General features: G+C 48.4%; 1 protein-coding gene across 2 annotated transcripts in view; it reads left to right on the top strand.

Moving 5' to 3' along the window:
- Positions 1-23,584, top strand: part of ZNF605 (zinc finger protein 605) — a 38,001-nt gene that overhangs the window by 1,283 nt on the left and 13,134 nt on the right. The window contains exons 2-4 of one of the 2 annotated variants that reach the window (NM_001164715.2): positions 9,227-9,403; positions 21,869-21,989; positions 22,219-22,311. In NM_001164715.2, the coding sequence (NP_001158187.1) occupies positions 9,389-9,403; positions 21,869-21,989; positions 22,219-22,311 (229 nt within the window). In that variant the 5' untranslated portion in view covers positions 9,227-9,388. Of the gene's footprint in view, positions 1-6,753; positions 6,877-9,226; positions 9,404-21,868; positions 21,990-22,218; positions 22,312-23,584 lie in introns of both variants that reach the window. The other variant, NM_183238.4, reaches the window with a different exon arrangement.

Raw genomic sequence — 23,584 nt, 5'->3', positions numbered from 1 at the left:
GTTGCTCTTTCAACCCCTGTCTCCAATAGCGGAGGCGAGTATGGGGTGGCCTATGCTGGCGAGTGGCTGGGGTTTGTTTCTGTGCTTGTGTTTGGGGATCTTATGATGGAAGCATTAGGAATGGCGCTGTGTATTTGTGACAAGGGAGTCTGGATGTAAGTTAATGGTGGACCTGTTGCAAGTTGTGAGTGCGTGGACAACGGGGGTCATACTTGGCGTCATTGGAGGGGCCTGCGGGATCGGCATTTGTGCAGAGCCCCACAATCCCTTTCCAGGTGGTGTTTGGGAGGGCCTGTGGGAATGTCAGTGAATGCTCCAGCATGGAGTGGATTAGAGAATGGGGTGTCATGGGGGCGAATGCTTGGGGGCCCCGGGGATAAGGGATTAGGGATCCCTGGGCATTGAGTGACTGGGGTCTAATTTAGGGGGTCTGTGGCGCAAGCCTCAGAATGTCAGTTACAGGGGAGGGGCTCTGTGAGCGCCTGACTTGGGCACCTGATGAAGTGAGTGAATGGAGACCAGTGTGTTCGTCCCAGGACAGAAGCCCCTTCTCCTCCCCTCCCCACCCTTCTCCTCCCCTCCCTACCCTTCTCCTCCCCCATCCTTCTCATCCCCTCCCCACCTCACCTGCAGGAGTGACTGAAGCCCCTTCTCCCCCGCTCCCCACCCTTCTCCTCCCCTCCCCAGCTCATCTGCAGGAGTATCTGAGTTCTGTGGGGATCCTTTGGGACTCAGAGTTTGGGGTTTCAGTCTGTGGTGATTCTTAAGTGGGGCTTTGGGGGTGCTGGTGATTATGGTGTCTGGCATCTGTATTTAAAAGCCCTGTGGGAGTCACTGAGGTCCAGTCATCAGTTGGGCCTGTAGGGATAACTCTGCCTGGCCTGTGAGGTCTATGGTGTGACGTAGGAATGGTAAGTGTCTGGGGGCCTGTGGAGGATTAGGAATAAAGGGTCCAGTGTACATCGTTGAATGGGGGACAGTTTTATTGGCTCGTGCCCTGGCATTGGCTTTGTTATTTGAGGGTGTTGGAACCAGGTGAGAAGGAGCTTGTTTGTATTAGTGACCGGGTACCAGAGATGACTGAATGACTGATGGGGTGGGCAGTGAGGTCTGTGAGGAGGAATGATCGGAGGGCTTGGGATCAATGCCAAGTATGCGTGCAAGTGTCTGTGATGGGTGTGCGGGTGGGTGAGGGTGAGAAATTGGGGACCCTGTGGGTGTCAGTGAGAGGGAAGCCTGGGGAGCCTAAGAGTTTGTTTGCCATTTGCGGTGAATGTGGAGTTAGAAGTTAGTGGCCTTAGCTGGGCACCGTGGCTCACACCTGTAATCCCAGCACTTTGGGAGGCTGAGGCAGGCAGATCAGGAGGTCAAGAGATCCACACCATCCTGGCCAACATGGTGAAACCCCGTCTCTACTAAAAATACAAAAATTAGCTGGGCATGGTGGTGGGCGCCTGTAATCCCACCTACTCAGGAGGCTGAGGCAGGAGAATTGCTTGAACCCAGGAGGCAGAGGTTGCAGTGAACCGAGATTTTGCCACTGCACTCCAGCCTGATGACAGAGTGAGACTCCATCTTAAAAAAGATAATAATAAGTTAGTGGCCTTTGGGTATCTGTGATTAGTGGTCTATACTGTGCCAGTCTGTGGAGTCTGTGGTCAGGTGTTTCTGGAGGCTGTTGTGGGGCCACTAGAGTTACCGCCTGGGGTCTTTGTTGGATGGTCACTGGGGAACCCATAGTGTGTGTCTCTGAAGGCCCTGGAGGGGCGGCCTCTTGGGGAGAGAGACTGGGTGGCCTGTGAAGTCAGCCATTGTGGTCCTGTGGGAGTGATGGGGGCACATGGGGTGAGTGAGAGTGGGGTTGATGGGGTTCGGTGGTTGTGTGGTCTGGAGGTCTGTGAAGCAGGCCTATTGGATTCAGTGATCTGGGGATGTCTTGGGATGTGGACCTGGAGAATTCTCAGGTGGTCACTGTGAGTGACTGGGGGACTTGGGATGCTGGAGGTTGGCAGGGGCTTGGAGCTGCGGAGTTCAGTGGTTTGTGTCTGGGGTGTGTGTGTGATGGAGGCCCTCTCTGGGACTTGGTAATCCGGGGAACTTGGCAGGGCCGTGTTGGTGGGTCTGGAAGCAGATCCGAATGTGAATGGGTCGTGGGTTGGCTCAGGCAAGCCTCTCGTGAGTGACAGGTCTTTTTGCCCTTTGGCCCTCTCCTTGTAGCTTGTGACCGCTGATCAGTGATCACTCTTTTTACGTGATTATTTCCTTTTTTAAAAGTTCTCAGTGACCCCGTTGGCCTTAAGGTCTTCTCCTTGTAGAATTTCCCCCTTGCTGTTTGTACCTCCTAGGCCTCTTCCATCCCTCCTGATGACCTCCGGCTCCCCCACCCAAGACCTTTGCATCTGAGGTGCCTGGAGTGGTGTGGTCGGCCCAGCCTTCCGTGGCGGACTGCTCCTGCTTCAGGCTCAGCTAAAAGCCACCTCCTCCCACAAGCCTCTACGACGTCTGGGAGGAATATCTTCTGCCCATTCATCCCTTGGTCACAGTTAAAATTTCCTTTTTTTTTTTTTTTTTTTGAGACAGAGTCGCCCATGCTTGAGTGCAGTGGCGTGATCTCAGCTCACTGCAACCTCCATCTCCTGGGTTCCAGTGATTCTTCCGCCTCAACGCCCCCAGTAGCTGGGATTACAGGTGCCCGCCACCATGCCCGGCTAATTTTTTGTATTTTTAGTAAAGATGGGGTTTCACCATGTTGGCCAGGCTGGTCTCGAACTCCTGACCTCAAGTGATCTGCCTACCGCCTCAGCCTCCCAAAGTGCTGGGATTACAGGCGTGAGCCACCGCGCCTGGCCCACAGTTAAAATTTCTTCTGAGCGCTCACAGTCAGAAATCATTTATTTACTTGGCTGTTTCCCTAGAGGGCAGAGACACCGTACATCTTGTTGAGTGGTCTTTCCCGTGTGCTCAGAACAGTGCCTGGTGTGTAATAGGAATTCAGCAAATGCTGCTTTCGTAGCGAGTAAATGAGACTGTGTGTGTGTGATGTGTGTGAACGTGTGTGTATGTGATGTATGTACGTGTGTGGGAATGTGTATTGTGTGATGTACGTATGTGTTTGAATGTGTGTGATGTGTGTATGAGTGTGTATGTGTGTATGAGTGTGAGTATAGTGTGTGATGTATGCGTGTATGTGTATGTGTGGTGTATGTGTATGTGTGTGATGTGTGATGTACATGTGTATCAATGTGTGTGTACTTGTCTGTGTGATGTGTGTTGTACATGTGTATGTGTCATGTATGTATCATTGTGTGTGCATGTGTGGTGTACGTGTATATCTGAGTTTGTGCATGTCTGTGTATGTTATGTGGGATGTACGTGTGCATCAGTGTATCTGTACGTGTCTGTGATACGAACGTGTGTATCTGTGTCTGAGTGTGTGCATGTCTGTGTGTATGGTATACGTGTGCATCAGTGTGTGTATGTGTGTGTGTGACGTACGTGTACATCAGTGTGTGTGTACGTGTGTGTGTATATGTGATGTATGTATGAATCTGCGTGCATGTCTGAGTGTGTATATGTATGAGATACGTATCTGTGGGTGTACGTGTCTGTGAGTGTGTGTGATGTACGTATCTGTGTGTACGTATATGTGTGATGTACGTGTGTATCTGTGTGTACGTGTCTGTGTGTGTGATGTACGTGTGTATCAGTGTGTGCATGTCTGTGTACGTGTCTGTGTGTACGTGTATCTGTGTGTGATGTACATGTGCGTCTGTATGTACGTGTCTGAGTGTATGTGTGATGTACATGTGTATCAGTGTGTCTGAGTGTGTGTGCATGTCTGTGTGTACGTCTGTGTATACGTTATGTACCAGTGTGTGTGTATGCGTGATGTACTTGTGTATCAGTGTGTCTGTACGTCTGTGAGTATGCGTGATGTACGTATCAGTGTGTGTACATGTCTGTGTATGATGTATCTGTGTGTACATGTCTGTGATGTACGTGTTATCAGTATGTCTGTACATGTCTGCGTGTGATGTACATGTGTATCAGTGTGTCTGAGTGTGTGTGTGCATGTCTATGTGTACGTGTCTGTGTATACGTTACGTGTGTATCAGTATGTGTGTGCGTCTGTGAGTATGTGTGATGTATTTGTATCAGTGTGTCTGTACATGTCTGTATGTGTGATGTTCGTTATCAGTGTGTGTACATGTCTCTGTGTATGATGTATCAGTGTGTCTGTGTGTACATGTCTGTGATGTACGTGTGTTATCAGTATGTCTGTACATGTCTGTGTGATGTACATATCTGTGAGTGTGTGTGCATGTCTGTGTGTACTGTGTGTGTACCTGTGTATCTGTGTGTGTCTGTGAGTGTATGTGCGATGTACTCAGGGTGTCTGTGTATGCCTGTCTTTGTGTGTGTGTACGTGTGCATCAGTGTGTGTGCACGTCTGTGTGTGATGTACGGGTGTATTAGTGTGTCTGAGTGTGTGTGCGTCTGTGTGTGTGCATGTCTGCGCATGTCTGTACGTGTGCGTCTGTGTGTGCATGTCTGTGTGTCTGTATGTGCGTCTGTGCACGTCTGCACGTATGTGCGTGTCTGTACGTGTGCATGTGTGTGCATCCGTGAGTGTGTGCGCATGTCTGAGTGTGCGTGTACTTGTAGATCAGTGTGTGTGGGGTGAGAGTTTCGGTGTGAATGTGAGAGCAGAGGGATTAAATACTCAGGATTCTGAAGGGGGAGGCCAGGGTGGCTGCTTTTGGACTCAGGACGACAAGATGTTCCCTTTGCTGGAGAAGCAGCCGGAGGAGGTCCCCTCTGCATTCACTCAAAAAGGGTCCGAACTAATTCGAAGCTTCCGGGAGGGCAGGGGGACCTTGATCTCAGGGACCCCAGGTTTGGATGCCAGTAACTATGGGGTCTCTTTGTAGTCAGGGCTTCTCTCTGGGCCTCCTAGATGGTAGAGCCCCCGACCTCTGTGCCACAAGCCTGAAGGAGCTCCCAGGCGTCTCAGGAGGAGCTGCGTCTTTGGATGCCAATCTCTGGGCTCTTCCAGGATGTTTTTTCTCGAGAATCTGCCTCGAGCCGCAAACCCTTCACACTGCGGACTAGAAAGAGTCCTCTTAGAGCCTCTGACCTTTCTCTCTACTTCAGCTGCGAACGGGCGAAGCCTGCGCCATGCCTCTCCTTTCCCGCCATTTCTAGGAATTCCTCCTACCTCAGTGTCCTTGCTCTGCCATTCACCACGGTTTGGGTCAGAATCCAGAGTTCAGCCAATGCTTCCAGAGAGACTGTGGCTGTTAACTGTCCCTGTTGACACTGGGACCTGTCTCCCCTCATGACCTGAGTCTTACCTTGATTCTCTTAATGACGGAGAGGGAGACATTAAGAACTTGGGAGCCAATGCCAGGCGCGAGCTACACTGGTCTCCGCCTCCTGCTCCCTGCAGATACTGTTGGGGACCAGCCTCAACACCACCCGTAGGGTACCCAAAGTCCGGTGGCGACAAAGGAATGAGAAGAGACAGGTTAAGAGTGCATAAAGAGTGAGGGCCAGGGGGCCAATTGCAAATCGGAGGCTGCAAAAGGCGCAGGGTTCTGGTCTCCACTCTATTGATTGAGTACCATCACTTACAGCTAAGAAGCAGACGTTCAGGGCGAAACAGTGAAAGGGAGGCAGTGCGCCCATCATACGTGTAATCTATAGCACTGGTGGTTTAAATGAATCTCCTTTGTGCTCAAACAGCCTATTTTTAACTTATCGGAGAGTAGCTAGTGGGAGTGGGCTTAAGTAGGAGCCTGCACGTCTGGCTTCCAGTGCTTCAAAGGAGTGTCCTTCTCCTTGAACACAGTGTTTATGGATGATGGAGCAACTCACTCAGAGCCTGGGAACATCACGGCGATAAGAAGGCTTTCCTCCTCAGAGGCCTCTTGTGGCTTTCCACAACTTCTTGTCCCATATTTTTATGGCCAGTTAATACAGGCACCCCATAAGCCTTTCCCCCAACAGATACCAAGCAGGCGTGAGCTACACTGGTCTCTGCCTCCTGCTCCCTGCAGGTGCCAGGCGTGAGCTACGCTGATGTCTGCTTCCGCAGGTGCCAGGCGTGAGCTACACTGGTCCCCGCCTCCTGGGCCCTGCAGGTGTGGCTGCTGCTGGCTGTGCACCGTGGGGTTCCTGAGCGTGGGGTCACCTGGGAACGACCCTTGTCTAATTCTCCAATCCTCAGCCTCTGGGGTACGTGGGAGACCGCGCAGAGGAGTGGCGTCTGGCTGTACTCTTTTTTTCAGTTGCCCTGAGGCAAAACCCGGCCATTTGCTAATATCCAGTCCTAACTTTCCTCCCTCATTTGAGGCAGGGGAGCGGAGACTTCAGTCATTGCTTACTCTATTTCTGTGGGACAGTGAAGACACACAAAGACGAGAAAAGGGCTCTTGCTGTAGGTCTTCTCGCTCAGTTTACCTCACTTTCTGGAAAGGTGCCACTGGCCTCGTGCCACTTGTTATCTTCCTGGCTAGCCGGTTAGCCCCTTGCCTGTGGGGCCCTTGCCGTGTGCTTGGGAGTCACCTGCTTCAGCCCTGGGAGCTTCAGAGCTGCTCGACAACCATTCCTAGGCCACGTGGCCTCGCTCCACAGGTGTAGATGGCAAGTGCTGGACAAACGTTGCTTGGCAGGATTGCTACGTGAGGTAGAATTTCCGTCCCTCTTGTCTCCCAAGTTTACAGGAAGCTTTTTTTGGACATTTCTTTTCAGACTCATTCTGATGAAGGAAAGAGCGTCCCTGTGCAGCTGCGTGTCCTTCAGTTCTTTGGCTCTGATTCCGTGTCTGGCTTCATCTAAGTGGCCTGGTCCATGGGCAGTGAAGAAATGTAAAGTGTGAGCATTCGTGTGTACCAGGATGTGGTGCTTTTTGAGTTCATTATGCTTATTTTAAATCTTGGTCAGTCTTTTCCATCTTCTGCCTAAGATGGTATCTTTTGTGCAGTTTGTGGTCTTTGAAAAAGTTTTAAAAGTTTTTAAAACTGGAAAAGATACCGCCTGCACTTTCCTTCAGAAATCAGCAGTAACAGCCCAGGCTGTTGGTTTCCAAGGGGTACCTGAGGCAGACCCCAGTCCCTGTGGAACTGAGGAATCATGGAGGGGTTAAGGGCTCCAAAAGTTTGGAGGTGGAGGTTGCAGTGAGCCGAGATCACGCCACTGCACTCCAGCCCTGGCAACAAGAGCGAAACTCCACCTCAAAAAAAAAAAAAACTTTTGAAAAAGTTTTAAAGATGATGGTTATACTTAGTTACCTGATTATTTGGCCTGATTATTTGGGGAAATAAACCTAAAATCTGCCAACCCAGAAGACCTCTTCACAAAAGTAGAAAATAAAGAAAAATAATTTTATTATTGAATAAAAATTAAACGAGGCCAGACACAATGGCTCACACCTGTAGTCCCAGCACTTTGGAAGGCCAAGGCCAGTGGATCACTTGAGCCCAGGAGTTCAAGGCCAACCTGGGCAATAAGGCAAAACCCCGTCTCTACAAAAAATACAAAAATTAGCTGGGGATGGTGGCGTACACCTATAGTCCCAGCTACTCAGGAGGCTGTTGTGGGAGAATTCACCTGAGCCCAGGAAGGTTGAGGCTACGGTGAGCCAAGATCATGCCACTGCACTCCAGCCTGGGTGACAGAGCAAGACCCTGTCTCAAAGAAAAAAATGTGGCCGGGCGTGGTGGCTCACACCTGTAATCCCAGCACTTTGGGAGGCTGAGGTGGGCGGATCACCTGAGGTCAGGAGTTCGAGACTAGCCTGGCCAATATGGTGAAACCCCGACTCTACTAAAAATACAAAAAAATTGGCCAGGCGTGATGGTGGGCACTTGTAATCCCAGCTACTTGGGAGTCTGAGGCAGAAGAATCGCTTGAACCCAGGAGGCGGAGGTTGCAGTAAGCCGAGATCATGCCATTGCACTCCAGCCTGGGCTACAACAGCGAAACTCTGCCTCAAAAAAAAAACCAAAAAAAAACAAGGGGGTGAATCTCTTTCTGTATTTTGCATGAGGGAAAATTAGGGATTTTTTCCTCCTTTTAAATCTATATTTGCCCTTCCAGGCCTGTGAGCACACATTCCCCTCGGGGTGTCAGCTGCTCCCCCACGTGGTCTGGAGATGCGCGTGAGGGAAGGGCTGAAGGCCAGGCTTTAGTCTCTGAAGCTTCTGATGAGTTGAAGCAGAGGGGCGCTCAGGGGCCCAGGACAGAGGGTAGACCTGGGAATTGTGCCCCCTCTTCCAGCTGTGAGCTGCCCCCACTCTGGGCAGCTTGTGAGTTGCCACTCCCGCAACTCCCAGCCCTGGGATGCTGGAGGCAGGAGGTCAGAAAATACCCAAAGAACAGCAGCAGCCTTTACCCCTCCATGATTCCTCAGTTCCACAGGGACTGGGGTCTGCCTCAGGTACCCCTTGGAAACCGGCAGCTGGGCTGTTACTGCTGATTTCTGAAGGAAAGTGCAGGCAGTATCTGTTCCGGTGTGAACTGGGGAAGAGGCAACATAAGACATTCCCTGCCTTGTGTCTTGCTGCGCCCTCTGGCTCCCATCTGCTGTAGGCTGCAGCCAGGCCCTGCTCAGCCTCAGACCCACGCCTCAGCTCCACCCCAGCCTGCGTCTGCCCAGGGGTGTCTGTTTTTCTTTTTTTACTCTTACATTAGTTCCTCTGATCTATGTTTTCCTTTTGTTCCTGGGCTGATCCATCTCCGTCTAAAGTCCATTTTCTGTTTACCACCCTGCCTAGAAGTAAGTTGGTGTTTTACTCTGTAGCACTTAACACAAGTAATTTGATTTAGGTGCCTCCAGGAAGTATTGCTGCCAAATGGATAAGTCCTCATGGCATTTCCAGAGCTTCATGATGTCTGTGCTGAGCAGTCTAGGGTAGTGGTGCTCCTCTGGAGGTGTCTGCTTGAACCAGCCAGGGGAGTGGTTTCCATCTGGCATTTATGGGTGGAGCCGGGGCTGTTCAGTTCCGTGCGTACTGCAGACCTGGCCTAGATGCAGGTCAGACCCGACGGAGACGTGCTAGTAGCTCACATTCCACCCTGCTTCCCGCCCGCTAGCCCTGGTGTGAGCCTACCCAACATCTAGTTCGAGACTTTAAATAATCTGAGCTCCCAGCAAGAGAACACCAAGATTTAGGTTCCCAAATTAATTAGATCATCTAAAATAAAATGTCCACTGCATCCACAGGCAATAGCCCTCTGGAACAAGACAATTCATGTGAGATAAGAAAGAAGAGCCCACAAGACCAAGGATGTATTCTCAGTTTACAGACCACTGACCAGAGGCCACTCCAGGGTGTCAGGACTAAGAGAAGTCACAAAACAGCAGATTTCCCAAGAGCAGCGGAAAATGATCCAGTCACAGGTGGGTTATCGGTTTATCCTCTGTTTCATGAAAATGATCCAGTCACAGGTGGGTTATCGGTTTATCCTCTGTTTCATGAAAATGATCCAGTCACAGGTGGGTTATCGGTTTATCCTCTGTTTCATGAAAATGATCCAGTCACAGGTGGGTTATCGGTTTATCCTCTGTTTCATGAAAATGATCCAGTCACAGGTGGGTTATCGGTTTATCCTCTGTTTTGTGGGTGTTATGAGGCTTACAGAAATCTCTGCAACACACAGAAGGGTCTAAATACATTTAAATAAGAGAAAATATAAACTTGGGAAAGAAGATGTCCAAAGAAGCACAAAGTAGATTATAGAAACATACAAAAGTCTCAGCTGGGCATGGTGGCTCATGCCTGTAATCCCAGCCCTTTGGGAGGCCGAGGAGGGCAGATCATTTGAGGTCAGGAGTTTGAGACCAGCCTGGCCAACATGGCAAAACCCCGTCTCTACTGAAAATACAAAAATTAGCCTCCCAGCTACTCGGGAGGCTGAGGCATGAGAATCACTTGAACCCAGGAGATGGAGGTTGCAGTGAGCTGAGATCGCATCAGTGCACTCCAGCCAGGGTGACAGAGTGAGAAAAAGAATCATACAAAAGTCTTAAAGTTGGAAGAGATCAATAAGAAATGGGATCCTTCCCTGTTACAGAGTTGAACTGCAAGCTTTTCTGTTATTTCCAGAAGCCATAACAGAAAGGGAAGTAGGAATAGTTAACGTGGGTTCCTCTTGTCAAAAGGAAAAAGCAGACAAATTACTCTGGAGAAGCAAATACTTCCGATAATTACACATAAAGAAAATGTTTTGATAATTATTCATATACATGGCATAGTGGTAAGATCCTAAATAGCAGCCTTGTAATAAACAAACAGGTTTCCTAGGACTATTTCTTGGAGCTCCTCAATGTCAGCTAAGGGCATGAATCGAAAGAATTCAGAACACAGTTTCTTCGAGGACTGAGATGGGGTCTTGGTTGCACATCCTACCTAGATTCCAGTTTTAGGAAAGAAACTTAAATCACCTGGCAGAATTGATCATTACGAAACCTTCAAATGGTCCCCATAAGTATGCTCTCCACTGGAATGTTGATGTGTTTTGGATGGAAATGCCGCTCCTGTTGGCAGAGGCTTGACATGCAGGGATCTGCGTTCAGCTCTGTTTCCATACTTTGTTGACTCAAGAAACAGACTGTGGTGTCCCCTCACCTTTCGGAGGAATTCTTACCACCTAGTCAGCCTCTCCCCTCTCACCCTTTCCCTGCCTTTCCTTTCTTCCTGATATTTTCTTTTTTTGATGTTCAGTCCTACGCCAGGAGTGGCACCACTGCACTCCAGCCTGGGTGACGGAGCAAGACGCCGTCTCAAAAAAAAAAAAGTAAAGGAATAAAGGATAGCTACTCCATAGGCAGAGCAGGGCATTCCGGAAAGCAGGAGGAGGAAGGCGCCCACCCTAGGTACAAGGCTTGTTGACATGTAGGACAACAACAATGACAGTCACAGGGAGATGTGCTCAGCCACAAGGGTTTGTGATAAAGGATTGATTTTCTTAATATATTTTATAAGAATCAATATTATTATCTTTAAAGCAAAATTAGAAACGGTTTTGTTCTCAAGACATGGGGACATCAGGACGTTCCTGGGCATGGGCCTGTTTAGTAAACATTATTAATCTGTTCCCTTAACCGTAAACATCTAGAGGCCAGGAATACCTCACCTCCCGGCAATGCTGTCCAGCAAGCTCCAGCCTCATTTTCCCTCGCCCTCACTCAAGATGGAGTCGCTTTGGTTCTAATGCTTCTGACAAAGAGCCAGTTGCATCAGTGCAGATGTGGGGATTGTCTCTTTGCCCTCAGCCGAGGGAGCCCTGAACAAAAAACTCCAGCAATTTTTTTGGACCCTGGGGTAGGGAGGGAGGGGCTGGGAGTAGAAAAGTACCAGGTACTGAGTCAAAGTGGGGAAAAGTGTCTTCAGGGTTCTCCCCCACCCCAACGAGGAGGTCTTGCATTAGCACCTGAGAAAGGCCTCAGGAGACTGGAGTGCAGGTGCCTGGGTAAGAAGGGCAAATGTGTGAGATCACGACCCCTGACTGCAGCTCCCCTCAAAGACCAGAGTGTGCTGGCCGTGCACCAAGTCTCTTGGGAGGGCAGTTTTCCCCTGAGGCCTGCTGGGTAAAGCCTTGGTAATTGCCTGTGCTTACACCTGAACATGCACTACAGGTTTTTTTTGTTTTTTTTTTTTTTGAGATGGAGTCTCGCTCTGTCGCCTAGACTGGAGTGCAGTGGCACAATCTCTGCTCACTGCAAGCTCCGCCTCCCGGGTTCACACCATTCTCCTGCCTCAGCCTCCCGAGTAGCTGGGACTACAGGCGGTACCACACCCAGCTAATTTTTTTGTATTTTTAGTAGAGACGAGGTTTCACTGTGTTAGCCAGGATGGTCTCAATTTCCTGACCTTGGGATCCACCCACCTCAGTCTCCCAAAGTGCGGGGATTACAGACGTGAGCCACCGTGCCCGGCCGCACTACAGGTATTTAACCAGGAGCTGAACTCCTTGACTCCACTCCTTGATTTTTTAGGACCTAAGTGTGAAACAGGCTACCTCATCATGGACCCCAATAGGTCAGACTTTGACGGGCCGTGACAATAACCAGGTAAATCGTCTGAGGCAACAGCAGACCATGGCTATGACGCCACTCCAAGCAGGATGGTCGGGCCCGGAGGACTGAACATGGCCTCAGCAGTCACCTCGGCAGTTGCCATGCCAGGAAAGACGCCCCACAGCCCACTGGAGAGACAGAAGAATCTGTGTGAATCTTCTTTACCTGGCCTGAGGCATCAATTCAGGCACAGCAGAACACTGGCCAGGAAACTGAACGTGACCTGAATGTCTTCCAGGCTGAGACAGGTCCTGAGTGCAATCCCAGAGGGCACACGTGGTCCCCTAGAAACAACGAATTCACAAGGTCAGGTGCCCCAGCCGGGCACGCACGCCTCAGGTTGTGAGGTTAACAGGGATCCAAGGTGGCTTCCCATCGTCGGGCCTCTGTCCAGTCTGGATCATTGGGTTTAGGCCTTGACTTCAGAGGGCCTGCCTGGGACTGAGTTCCAAACCATTCTGTTTATCCATGACATGAGTTTGTTAGTCCCACCTTATCAAGTGTGGACAGTCTCTGGAGGAGTTCTGCACAGAGCCCAGGAGCCAAGGCAGTCCTCTGCCTCTCCTCGTCAGCACCGTGAGGAAGCCGAGGTGTGGGCTCAGCAGACGGTCCAAGTCCACAGCCGCCACAGTCCATGGAAAGGCAGCAAGAGGACCTCTTGTGTTTGGTTTTTTAGGAGGAGGAGAAAGCTTTTAGGAGCAGGTCTGAAAAATAAAGATCATTATTATTTTTTCCCTTTCCCTGAGCCTCCCAGATGCCAGTTTTGTTTTGTTTTTCTGTTACCTGTGTGTCCCATGTAGTAATCAAAACTTAAGAACAAAATGTCTCCTGTTTTCATTCATACGTGCTGTCTGGAAAGGTTGTATACAAGAGGGACAAAATATTTTTACATAACCAAAAAGATAAATCATGTTTAAGAATTGTTGAGCACAAAATCCTGAACTTTTAAAAGGTTTAAAAATAGGTTTACATATCTCCCGTCTATTTGAGGCTTCAGAAAGGGGATGAAAGGGCCTTGCACCGTGCCCCGTGGAGTCTGAGGTGTCTGTAACTGGAGAAGAAGAGTGCGTGATGGAGGGCAGCCTGGAGAAGAAGGACGCGTGATGGAGGGCAGCCTCGAGAAGGAGCGTGACAGAGGGCAGCCTGGAAAAGGGCGCGTGACGGAGGGCAGCCCGGAGAAGAGGGACGCGTGACGGAGGGCAGCCTGGAGGTACCCGTGGGAAGTGCCCTGCGGGGAACGGCTGCGTGAGGCCTGAGGTCGCTTGCCTGAGCTGCGTAGTCCAGGCTGCGGTTATCTCGTCCCCTCCCAGCAGCCACCGAAGCTGTCCGTTACAACAGTCAGTTACCCTGTTGCTCGTGAGCGATACGGTTCCTCAGACGCCCCATGATTGGGCCTATTGATGTGTAGTTTGGACTGGGGCTGTTCTCAGAAGCACTGCGCTCAGGAAACCTGAACGGGAAGCAGATCTGGTCATGTCGGGCCTGGATAGTGTGGCCCAAGTCAGTGGAATGTGTGGGGTTGGCTGGGCCAAACCACAAGGAAACAGCGAAACATTGATCTACCTGCCGAGAATGTCATGGCCGATTGACCTGGCAATCTACCTTTGGGCGCTGCTAGCCTTGACCAGAGTCTGGAAAGCAGGACAGCTGTTTCCCGTGGTTCACCGTCTTCTGAGAGCAGAAGCAGCACACGCGGAGGCTCGGTCTAGGCCATGTCTGCATCTCTGTGGGACGTTTCTCATGGCTCCATGAGGCGGTCAGTCACATATCTGCTTGCTCCGGAGTGGAAGACATCTTAGTCTGCATTTAGCAAGCGCAGTTGGGTGGTTGTGTTTCCTGGGTCAGCACTGGAGTCTTTTTGGTGAGCACCCGTATGGGTAACAAAATGCTTCTTAGGAGCAGAACTGATTTTTATCTAAATGTCTCATCCTCAGGAACAGAAAACCAAATGTTCTCTGTTCTTATTTATAAGTGGGAGCAAAACACTGGGTACACGTGGACACGAAGATGGGGCCAGTAGACACAGGGGACCTCAAACGTGGGGAGGGAGGGAGGGAAGAGGGAAGCCTGTTGGGTTCTGTGCTCACCACCTGGGCGACAGGATCAGTCGTACCCCAAACCTCAGCATTACGCAGTAAACCCACAAAACAAACCTGCACATGGACTTGTGGATCTAAAGAAAAAGTTGAAATTATTTTTTTTTTAAAAAGTCCTGTCTCCACCAGGAACCTTGTTTTACCTGCCAGTCTGAGGCTGGCCGGCGGCCTGATCCAATGGCCAGGGAACTAGCCATAGCCTGAGTCGGGTGGATTCAGTCTTCCTATGCTGCTCTGTAACGGCCCTAACTGCAGCAGTTCCCATCAGGGACTGGGGCAAAGGCTAGCAGGGGTGTACATAGATGGGACATCAGCATCAACAATACACTCAGGACCGGGGACCACATCATAGTCCTGTAGCATCCACAGTACGTTGGCTGTACACCACGTCCGTTGTGGGGAGGGCAGTTTTCCTCCATGAGGCCCACAGGGTAAAGCCTTGGTGATTGTTTATGTTTGTGCCTGAAATTTCGCACAGACCTTTTTAACCAGGAGCCAGCTTCCTCAGAGGAGTTTTAAAACACGTCCAAGTTCATGTCATCAACATCACAGTCGGGACAGAGCGGCTCCGTCACCACACAGGAAGTCTGTGAGGCCCCTCTGTGGCTGTGCATCCCTTATCCCTGGCCGCCACTATCTGTTCTCTGTCACTACAGCTTTGCCTTTTCCAGAATGTCCTATAAATGGAATCATGTCGGCTAGGCACAGTGGCTCACACCTGTAATCCCAGTGTGTCCAGAATGGGTGGGTTCTTGGTCTCACTGACTTCAAGAATGAAGCCGCGGACCCTCGCGGTGAGTGTTACAGCTCTTCGGGTGGCGCGTCTGGAGTCTGTCCCTTCTGATGTTCAGCTGTGTTCGGAGTTTCTTCCTTCTGGTGGGTTCGTGGTCTCGCTGGCTCAGGAGTGAAGCTGCAGACCTTCGCGGTGAGTGTTACAGCTCTTAAGGTAGTGCGTCTGGAGTGTTCGTTCCTCCCGGTGGGCTCGTGGTCTCGCTGGCTCAGGAGTGAAGCTGCAGATCTTCGCGGTGAGTGTTACAGCTCATAAAAGCAGCGTGGACCCAAAGAGTGAGCAGTAGCAAGATTTATTGCAAAGAGCGAAAGAACAAAGCCTGCACAGTGTGGAAGAGGACCCGAGCGGGTTGCCACTGCTGGCTCGGGCAGCCTGCTTTTATTCTCCTATCTGGCCCCACCCACATCCTGCTGATTGGTAGAGCCGAGTGGCCTGTTTTGTCAGGGCGCTGATTGGTGCGTTTACAATCCCTGAGCTAGATACAAAGGTTCTCCACGTCCCCATCAGATTAGTTAGATACAGAGTTTCCACACACAGGTTCTCCAAGGCCCCACCAGAGCAGCTAGATACAGAGTGTCAATTGGTGCATTCACAAACCTTGAGCAAAACACAGGGTGCTGATTGGTGTGTTTACAAACCTTGAGCTAGATACAGAGTGCCGATTGGTGTATTTACAATCCTTGAGCTAGACATAAAGGTTCTCCATGTCCTCACCAGCAGCTAGATACAGAGTGTTGATTGGTGCACTCACAAACCTTGAGCTAAACACAGGGTGCTGATTGGTGTATTTACAATCCCTGAGCTAGATATAAAGACTCTCCACGTCCCCACCAGACTCAGGAGCCCAGCTGGCTTCACCTAGTGGATCCCGCACCGGGGCTGCAGGTGGAGCTGCCTGCCAGTCCTGCGCTGTGCGCTCGCATTCCTCAGCCCTTGGGTGGTCGATGGGACTGGGCGCCGTGGAGCAGGGGGTGGTGCTCGTCAGGGAGGCTGGGGCCGCATGGGAGCCCATGGAGTGGGTGGGAGGCTCAGGCATGGTGGGCTGCAGGTGCCCAGCCCTGCCCCGCGGGGAGGCAGCTAAGGCTCGGTGAGAAATCGAGCGCAGCGCCGGTGGGCCAGCACTGCTGGGGGACCCAGTACACCCTCCGCAGCCACTGGCCCGGGTGCTAAGTCCCCCATTGCCCGGGGCCAGCAGGGCTGGCTGGCTGCTCCGAGTGCGGCGCCCACCAAGCCCACGCCCACCCGGAACTCCAGCTGGCCCGCAAGCGCCGCACACAGCCCCGGTTCCCGCTCGTGCCTCTCCCTCCACACCTCCCTGCAAGCTGAGGGAGTGGGCTCCAGCCTTGGCCAGCCCAGAAAGGGGCTCCCACAGTGCAGTGGGGGACTGAAGGGCTCCTCAAATGCCACCAAAGTGGGAGCCCAGGCAGGGGAGGTGCCGAGAACAAGCGAGGGCTCTGAGGACTGCCAGCACGCTGTCACCTCTCACCAGCACTTCGGGAGGCTGAGGCGGGCAAATCACCTGAGGTCGGGAGTTCGAGACCAGCCTGACCAACATGTAGAAACCCCGTCACTACTAAAAATACAAAAATTAGCAGGGTGTGGTGGCGTGTGCCTGTAATCCCAGCTACTCGGGAGGCTGAGGCAGGAGAATCGCTAGAACCCAGGAGGCAGAGGTTGCAGTGAGTCGAGATCGTGCCACTTCACCCCAGCCTGGGCAACAGAGTGAGATTCTGTCTCAAAAAAATAAAAAATAAAAATAAAAAAATAAATGGGATCGGCCTGGCACAGTGGCTCTTGCCTGTAATCCCAGCACTTTGGGAGGCCGAGGCAGGTGGATCACAAGGTCAGGAGATTGAGATCATCCAGGCTAACAGGGTGAAACCCCGTCTCTACTAAAAATACAAAAAGTTAGCCGGGCGTAGTGGCAGGCGCCTGTAGTCCCAGCTACTTGGGAGGCTGAGGCAGGAGAATGGCGTGAACCCAGGAGGCGGGGCTTGCCATGAGCCGAGATCGCGCCACTGCACTCCAGCCTGGGCGACAGAGCGAGACTCCCTCTCAAATAAATAATAAATAAATAAATAAATGGGATCACATATGTGACCTTTTGACAGTGGCTTTTCTCACTTAGCATACCTTTGAGATTCATTCATATCTTATCGGTAGTTTCTTCCTTTTTCTTGGCGTGTGATTCCCTTGAATATGATCCCATGTATGGATGGGCCACAGTCTCTATCCATTCACTTATTGAAGGACATCTTAATTGTTCCACTTTTTAGCAGTTTTGAATAAAGCATTCATCTGCATATAGGTTTGAATATAAATTTTCAGGTGAATGTAAGTTTTCAGTTCACTACTTGAGTAAACACCTAGGAGTGGAATTGCTGCGTTGTGTGGTAAGTCTGTGTTCAACTTTATAAGAAACTGCCAAAATGTTTTCAAAAGCTGCTGTACATTTTACATTCCCACCACAATGAATGACAGTTGCTCTTGCTCTGAGTCCTCACAGATATTTGTCAGGGGTGTGTGTGTGTGTGTGTGTCTGTGTGTGTGTGTGTTTAGTTTTAGCCTTCTAATAAGTACATAGTAGTTTTTCATTATAGTTTTAATTTGCATTCACCTTTTGACAGATATATTGAACATCTTTTCATATATTTACTTTCCATCCATACATTTTCTTTTTTTTTTTTTTTTTTTTTGAGACAGAGTTTCATTCTTGTCGCCCAGGCTGGAGTGCAATGGCACCATCTCGGCTCACTGCAACCTCTGCCTCCTGGGTTCAAGCAATTATCCTCCCTTAGCCTTCCCAGTAGGTAGGATTACAGGTGCGTGTCACCATGCCTGGCTAATTTTTGTATTTTTAGTAGAAATGGGGTTTCACCATGTTGGCCAGGCTGGTCTTGAACTCCTGACCTCAGGTGATCCGCCTGCCTCGGCCTCCCAAAATGCTGGGATTACAGGCGTGAGCCACCGCGCCCAGCCACCTTCCATATATTTTCTTTGGTGAAATGTCAAGATATCTTGTTAATTTTTAAAATGAGGTTATTTTCTTAGTAAGAGTTCTTTATATCCTGGATATGAGTGCTTTAGCAAGTATGTAATTTGCAAATAATTTTCTCTTAGTCTGTGCCGTGCCTTCTCTTTCTCTTAACATTGTCTTTCACAGAGCAAAAGTTCTTAATTTTGAAAAAGTCCAATTTATCAAATTTTTTTCTTAAATTGATCAGGCTTTTGGTGTTGTATCTAACTCATTGCCAAACCCAAAGTCACACAGGTTTTCTTTGGTTTTCTTCTAAAAGTTTTATAGTTTTTTATGTTTAGGTCTGTGATCCATTTTGAGTTAGTTTTGATATAAGGTGTGAGGTATGTGTTGAGATCCCTTTTGCTTATGAGTATAAAATTGTTGAGACATTATTTGTCACAAAGACTGTAGAATTGCTTTTTGTACTTTTGTGAAACAATTGAGTATATTTGTAGGGGCTTATTTTTGAGTTCTGTGTTCTGTTCCATTAACTTGTGTTTTTATCCTTTCACAAATGCCATCCTGCCTTAATTACTGTGGTTGCATAGGAAGTCTTGAAATCAAGTAATGTGAGTCCTTTTATGTTTAAACTATTTTGAATATAAATGTGCCTCTTTCGTAGGCAGCATGTAGCTGGGGTTGCTTTATATTTTCCATTTCTGAGCTTTTGCTTTATTATTTCTTCTGGTCTATCTTCCAATTCACTTATTCTCTCTTTATCTTTTCCTAATCTACTCTTAAGCCCTTCCATTGACTTCTTAACTTTACTTATTATGCATTTTATCTCTAGAAGTTATATTTCATTTTTTTCAAATCTGCTTATTCATTTTTATAGTCTTCTGATTATTTTTCGTACTTTCATTAACCTCTCATTTCTTTGAATATATTAAATATATTTATTTTATATTCTGTGCTGACAGTTCAAATATCCTAAGTCTTTTATACCACTCCTGTTTGTTTTTTTTTGGTTTTTTTTGAGATGGAGTCTTGCTCTGTCGCCCAGGCTGGAGTGCAGTAGCGCCATCTCGGCTCACTGCAAGCTCCACCTCCTGGGTTCACGCCATTCTCCTGCCTCAGCCTCCCGAGTAGCTGGGACTACAGGCACCCACCACCACGCCCGGCTAATTTTTTTTTTTTTTTTTTTAAGACAGAGTCTCACTCTGTCACCCAGGCTGGAGTCCAGTGGTACGATCTCTGCTCATTGCAACCTCCGCCTCCCGGGTTCACGCCATTCTCCTGCCTCAGCCTCCCGAGTAGCTGGGACTACAGGCGCCCACCACCATGCCCGGCTAATTTTTTTGTATTTTTAGTAGAGATGGGGTTTCACCATGTTAGCCAGGATGGTCTCGATCTCCTTACCTCGTGATCCACCTGCCTCGGCCTCCCAAAGTGCTGGGGTTACAGGCGTGAGCCACCGCACCTGGATGATTTTTTTTTTATGTGTGCATTCCGGTTTCTCTTTTACTCTGTACTCATTTTTCTTGAATCTTTATTTGTGAGAATTATTTTGATCTCTTTCTCTAAATAGAATTTGCATTTGATTCTGCCGGATGCCTGAATGCATGGCCCCCTCAAAAACACTTTAGAACTCTCTGTGCTTAAGGTTTTTGCAAAACACATCTATACTGGAGTTGAGCCCACACACCCATATAAATCCAGCTTGTTATAATTCTCAGGGACAATTTTTGACCTCTTTGTGTAACACTAACATTTGAGGCAAGAAATTGATTTTCTTTGATTTTTTTTTCATTGACCCACACACGGAGTACTCCTTGTGTTCCAGCTTTATGAGGGAAAATAACCTATTAGTCCCCTATGCTTGGGCTTATTCTAAGCTTTCCTCCTTTTTCCTGTGTCCCTTGTAGCTGCTGGGACTGGAATGCTCAAATTTACTTGAGTCCAGCTGAAGGCTGGCCTCTGCTTACCTCTCTAGGTTTCCACGTTCCCTTTTAAAGAGGCCAGGACCATTCCCACCGCTCCCACTCCCTCTCTTATATTCCTGAACTTTCATCCCTCAGAAAACACACTTTATTTCCATGTCTTTGCTCATGCTGCTGCCTTGAGAGTGTCCTTTTCCTCATCCCCCTCTGTAACCAGGACTTTCTAAAGACCCTTTCTAAGCCTTACTGTCTTTACAGCACCTAACCCAGTGTTGTTAAATCCAGTGTTTTTATCCCCGTTTTGTCTCTATATTCTGTAAATGCTAGCTTCATAGCCCTGTAACCTTATTCACTCTGGCCTGAAAGGTACTTGAGAATGTGATTTTTTTCTACTCATTTTTAAATTTCTAGTACCTGTTATGGTTCCTGGAATCTTTTTTTTTTTTTTTTTTTAGACGGAATCTTGCTCTGTCACCAGGCTGGAGTGCAGCGGCACAATCTCAGCTCACTGCAACCTCTACCTTCTGGGTTCAAGCTATTCTCCTGTCTCAGCCTCCCGAGTAGCTGGGATTACAGGCACACACCACCACACTTGGCTAATTTTTGTATTTTTGGTAGAGATGGGGTTTTACAGTGCTGGCCAGGCTGGTCTCCAACTCCTGACCTCAGGTGATCCACCTGCCTTGGCCTCCCAAAGTGCTGAGATTTCAGGTGTGAGCCACCACACCCAGATGGTTCCTGGAATCTTAATTGCTCAATATGTGTGTTTTGGAAGATACCTAAAATAGCTGGCCAGTTCTTACTTGGGAGCAGAATCACTCCCAGAGGAAAGAGAGTGTTTTTGTTTTTGTTGTTGTTTATTTATTTATTTATTTATTTGAGACAGAGTCTTGCTCTGTTGCCCAGGCTGCATGCAGGTGCACGATCTTGGCTCACTGCAACCTCCACCTCCCAGGTTCAAGTGATTCTCCTGCCTCAGCCTCCCTGGTAGCTGGGATTGCAGGTGCCCACCACCACCCCCAGCTAATTTGTGTGTGTGTGCATGTGTGTGTGTGTGTGTTTAATAGAGTTGGGGTTTCACCATGTTGGCCAGGCTGGTCTTGAATTCCTGACCTCAGGTGATCCGCCCACCTCAGCCTCCCAAAGTGCTGGGATTACAGGCATAAGCCACCGTGCCCAGCCAGTGACTGAGAGATATTACTGTCATTAGCAGACAGAGGCCAGGCATGCTGAAGGGCTCAACTGCATGGAACAGTATTCCTTACCTAAGAATGGTTCTCAAATACTAGTGGCACCTTCTTTGAGAACCACTGTATTGTTTAAAGACAACCTATTCTGGTTTCTTGTTCAGTGGATAGGTACATGGATGAATGAATTCACAATGATAAATATTTTTAAAACATTCCTTCCTCAAGGCATAATGCAAGATTATTATATTTATTATATTAGATTATATTGGTTATTCATTATTGTGTCACAAATTACCCCAAACCTCAAGGGCTGAAAACAACAAACATTGATCTGTTTCTGGGTTTTGGAATCTGCCAGGTACTTGCCCAGTTGGTTCTGGTTGAGGGTCTCACATGATGCAGTGATGAAGGTGTTGAGAAGGGCTGCAGCGAGGAAGGAGCTGGCTCCTCCAGGCTCACTCAGTGGCTGTTGGGAAGCCTCAGTTCCACGGCACATGAGCTTCCACATGGCGGCCTTACAACACAGCAGCCAGACTCCTCCAGAGAGAGAGAGTGCCCAGGATAGAAGTTGCATTTCTTTCTAACCTAGTCTTGGAAGTGGCATCTCATCATGTTTCCCTGTTCTGTTCAGGACAATGAGTCAGTGAGTCCAGCCCACGGTCAAGAGGGGAGGATTATGCAAAAGCATGAATACCGGAGTCAGAGGTCACTGGGGCCATCTTAGAGGCCACCTACCACAAATACAGAAGAAAGTATTTTACAAGACCAAATGAGAACCACTTCAGGTTTAACAGGGATTATGCTTTTCCAGATATCATTTGAGGATGTGGCTGTGGATTTCACGCTGGAGGAATGGCAGCTACTTAATCCTACTCAGAAGAACTTGTACAGAGATGTGATGTTGGAGAACTATAGCAATCTGGTTTTCTTGGGTAAGAACATTCTTATGTAACTTAGTGTATGGCCAGTAACTGGCCTGTGAGGTGTTTGTTTATTTTGGATGTAAGTTTTACATGTCAAAGATTATTTGACTTTTATACTGAATTGAAAGATTTTCATTCACTTGCTTTATTTTGCAGCCTTTATAATAAAACATTCTACATATTTAAGACTCTTAGCCCAGGCAGTTAGGTCCAAGTCCTCTGTGTTTCCAATCGACAGGTTTTCAAATTCTCAAACCTGATGCAATGTTCAAACTGGAACAACAAGATCCATGGATAATAGGTCAAGAAATCCTAAATCAGAACTTTTCAGGTGAGGAATAATCAGGTTTATGAGATACAGTGAACATTTTATCTCAGGTTTTTGATGACAGGTGGGCACTTTTAAAGTGTTGTTTATAAAACTGTGTTTAAAGTTCCTGAATCTTTAGAGTTGACTCAAGATTGGTGACATGAGTTTTAATGGATGTGCTCCATAACCTGGTCTCCACATCGGGATGTGTCTTTTCTCCATGGAGTTTATGATGAAATGTATCCCTCTTATTCAGTGGCATAGATTGGTGGCCATTTACAACCCCACTTTCTTAGTTAAGGCTCTCTTTATGAATTCATAATTTTTTTCTTCTTTTAGATAACACTGATTGCCTTTGAGTTTATTTAAACTTCAAACTTTTAATTTATTATTTTTCTTCTCTTCCTCTAATTTGATATATTTCTATTTTAAAACCACAGAGAGTAGAAGATGAACCCACTGATACAGAGTGAAAATCTAGGCTGGGCGCAGTAGCTCATACTGTAATCCTCATGCTGTGGAGGTTGGGGAGAGGGCAGGGCACGACAGTCACTTAAGGCCAGGAGTTTGAGACCAACCTGGGCAACAAAGCAAGACCCCATATCTACTACTACTAATAATACCTAACAATAATAATAATAATTCAGCCAAATATGGTGGTGTGCACCTCTAGTGCCAGCTACCTGGGAGGCTGAGGTGGGAGGATTGCTTGACCCAAGGAGCTGGAAGCTGCAGTGTGCCATGGATGTGCTAGGCAACAGAGTGAGACCCTGTCTCTAAAAACAAAAACACACACACACAAAACCCTAATACCTTAAACATAGTAAGGAGATTTTGCTTCTTACCTTCCTCTGTACAAACTAAGGATTTTCAAGTCAGTTCCCAGTGCATCTTTCTGGTACATTTGATGTTTAACTTCTCTAAAGCTTCTCTCTCATACCATCACATAGTCAGGTGGGTTTAAGTCTCCATTACCTGCTGTGTGATATTTAATCTCCGTTTTTGTTGAAGAATCTCATGGTATGGGAACATCTTATCTCTCCACTTATTTTTCTATGCTCAAGAGTCATTATTAACTCCATTTGAGCTAGATTTGTGCTCAAGAGTCATTATTAACTCCATCTGAGCTAGATTCTTCCTCACACGCTCTTCTGAAATTTTTCTCTGCATCTGTACCTCTGATTATGGTACATTTTCCCCAGGTAGACTTCACTTTGAGCTCTTTTCTTCAACTTCAGTGAATGTTCCTTGACTCACAGCTTTCTCTGAAATCTCTATCCACGTAGCATCTATA

Source organism: Homo sapiens, chromosome 12, assembly GCF_000001405.40.
Source record: "Homo sapiens chromosome 12, GRCh38.p14 Primary Assembly".
Lineage (NCBI taxonomy): Eukaryota > Metazoa > Chordata > Mammalia > Primates > Hominidae > Homo > Homo sapiens.
The sequence above is the reverse complement of the archived record's forward strand: the minus strand, read 5'-3'. Positions and strand labels throughout refer to the sequence as shown.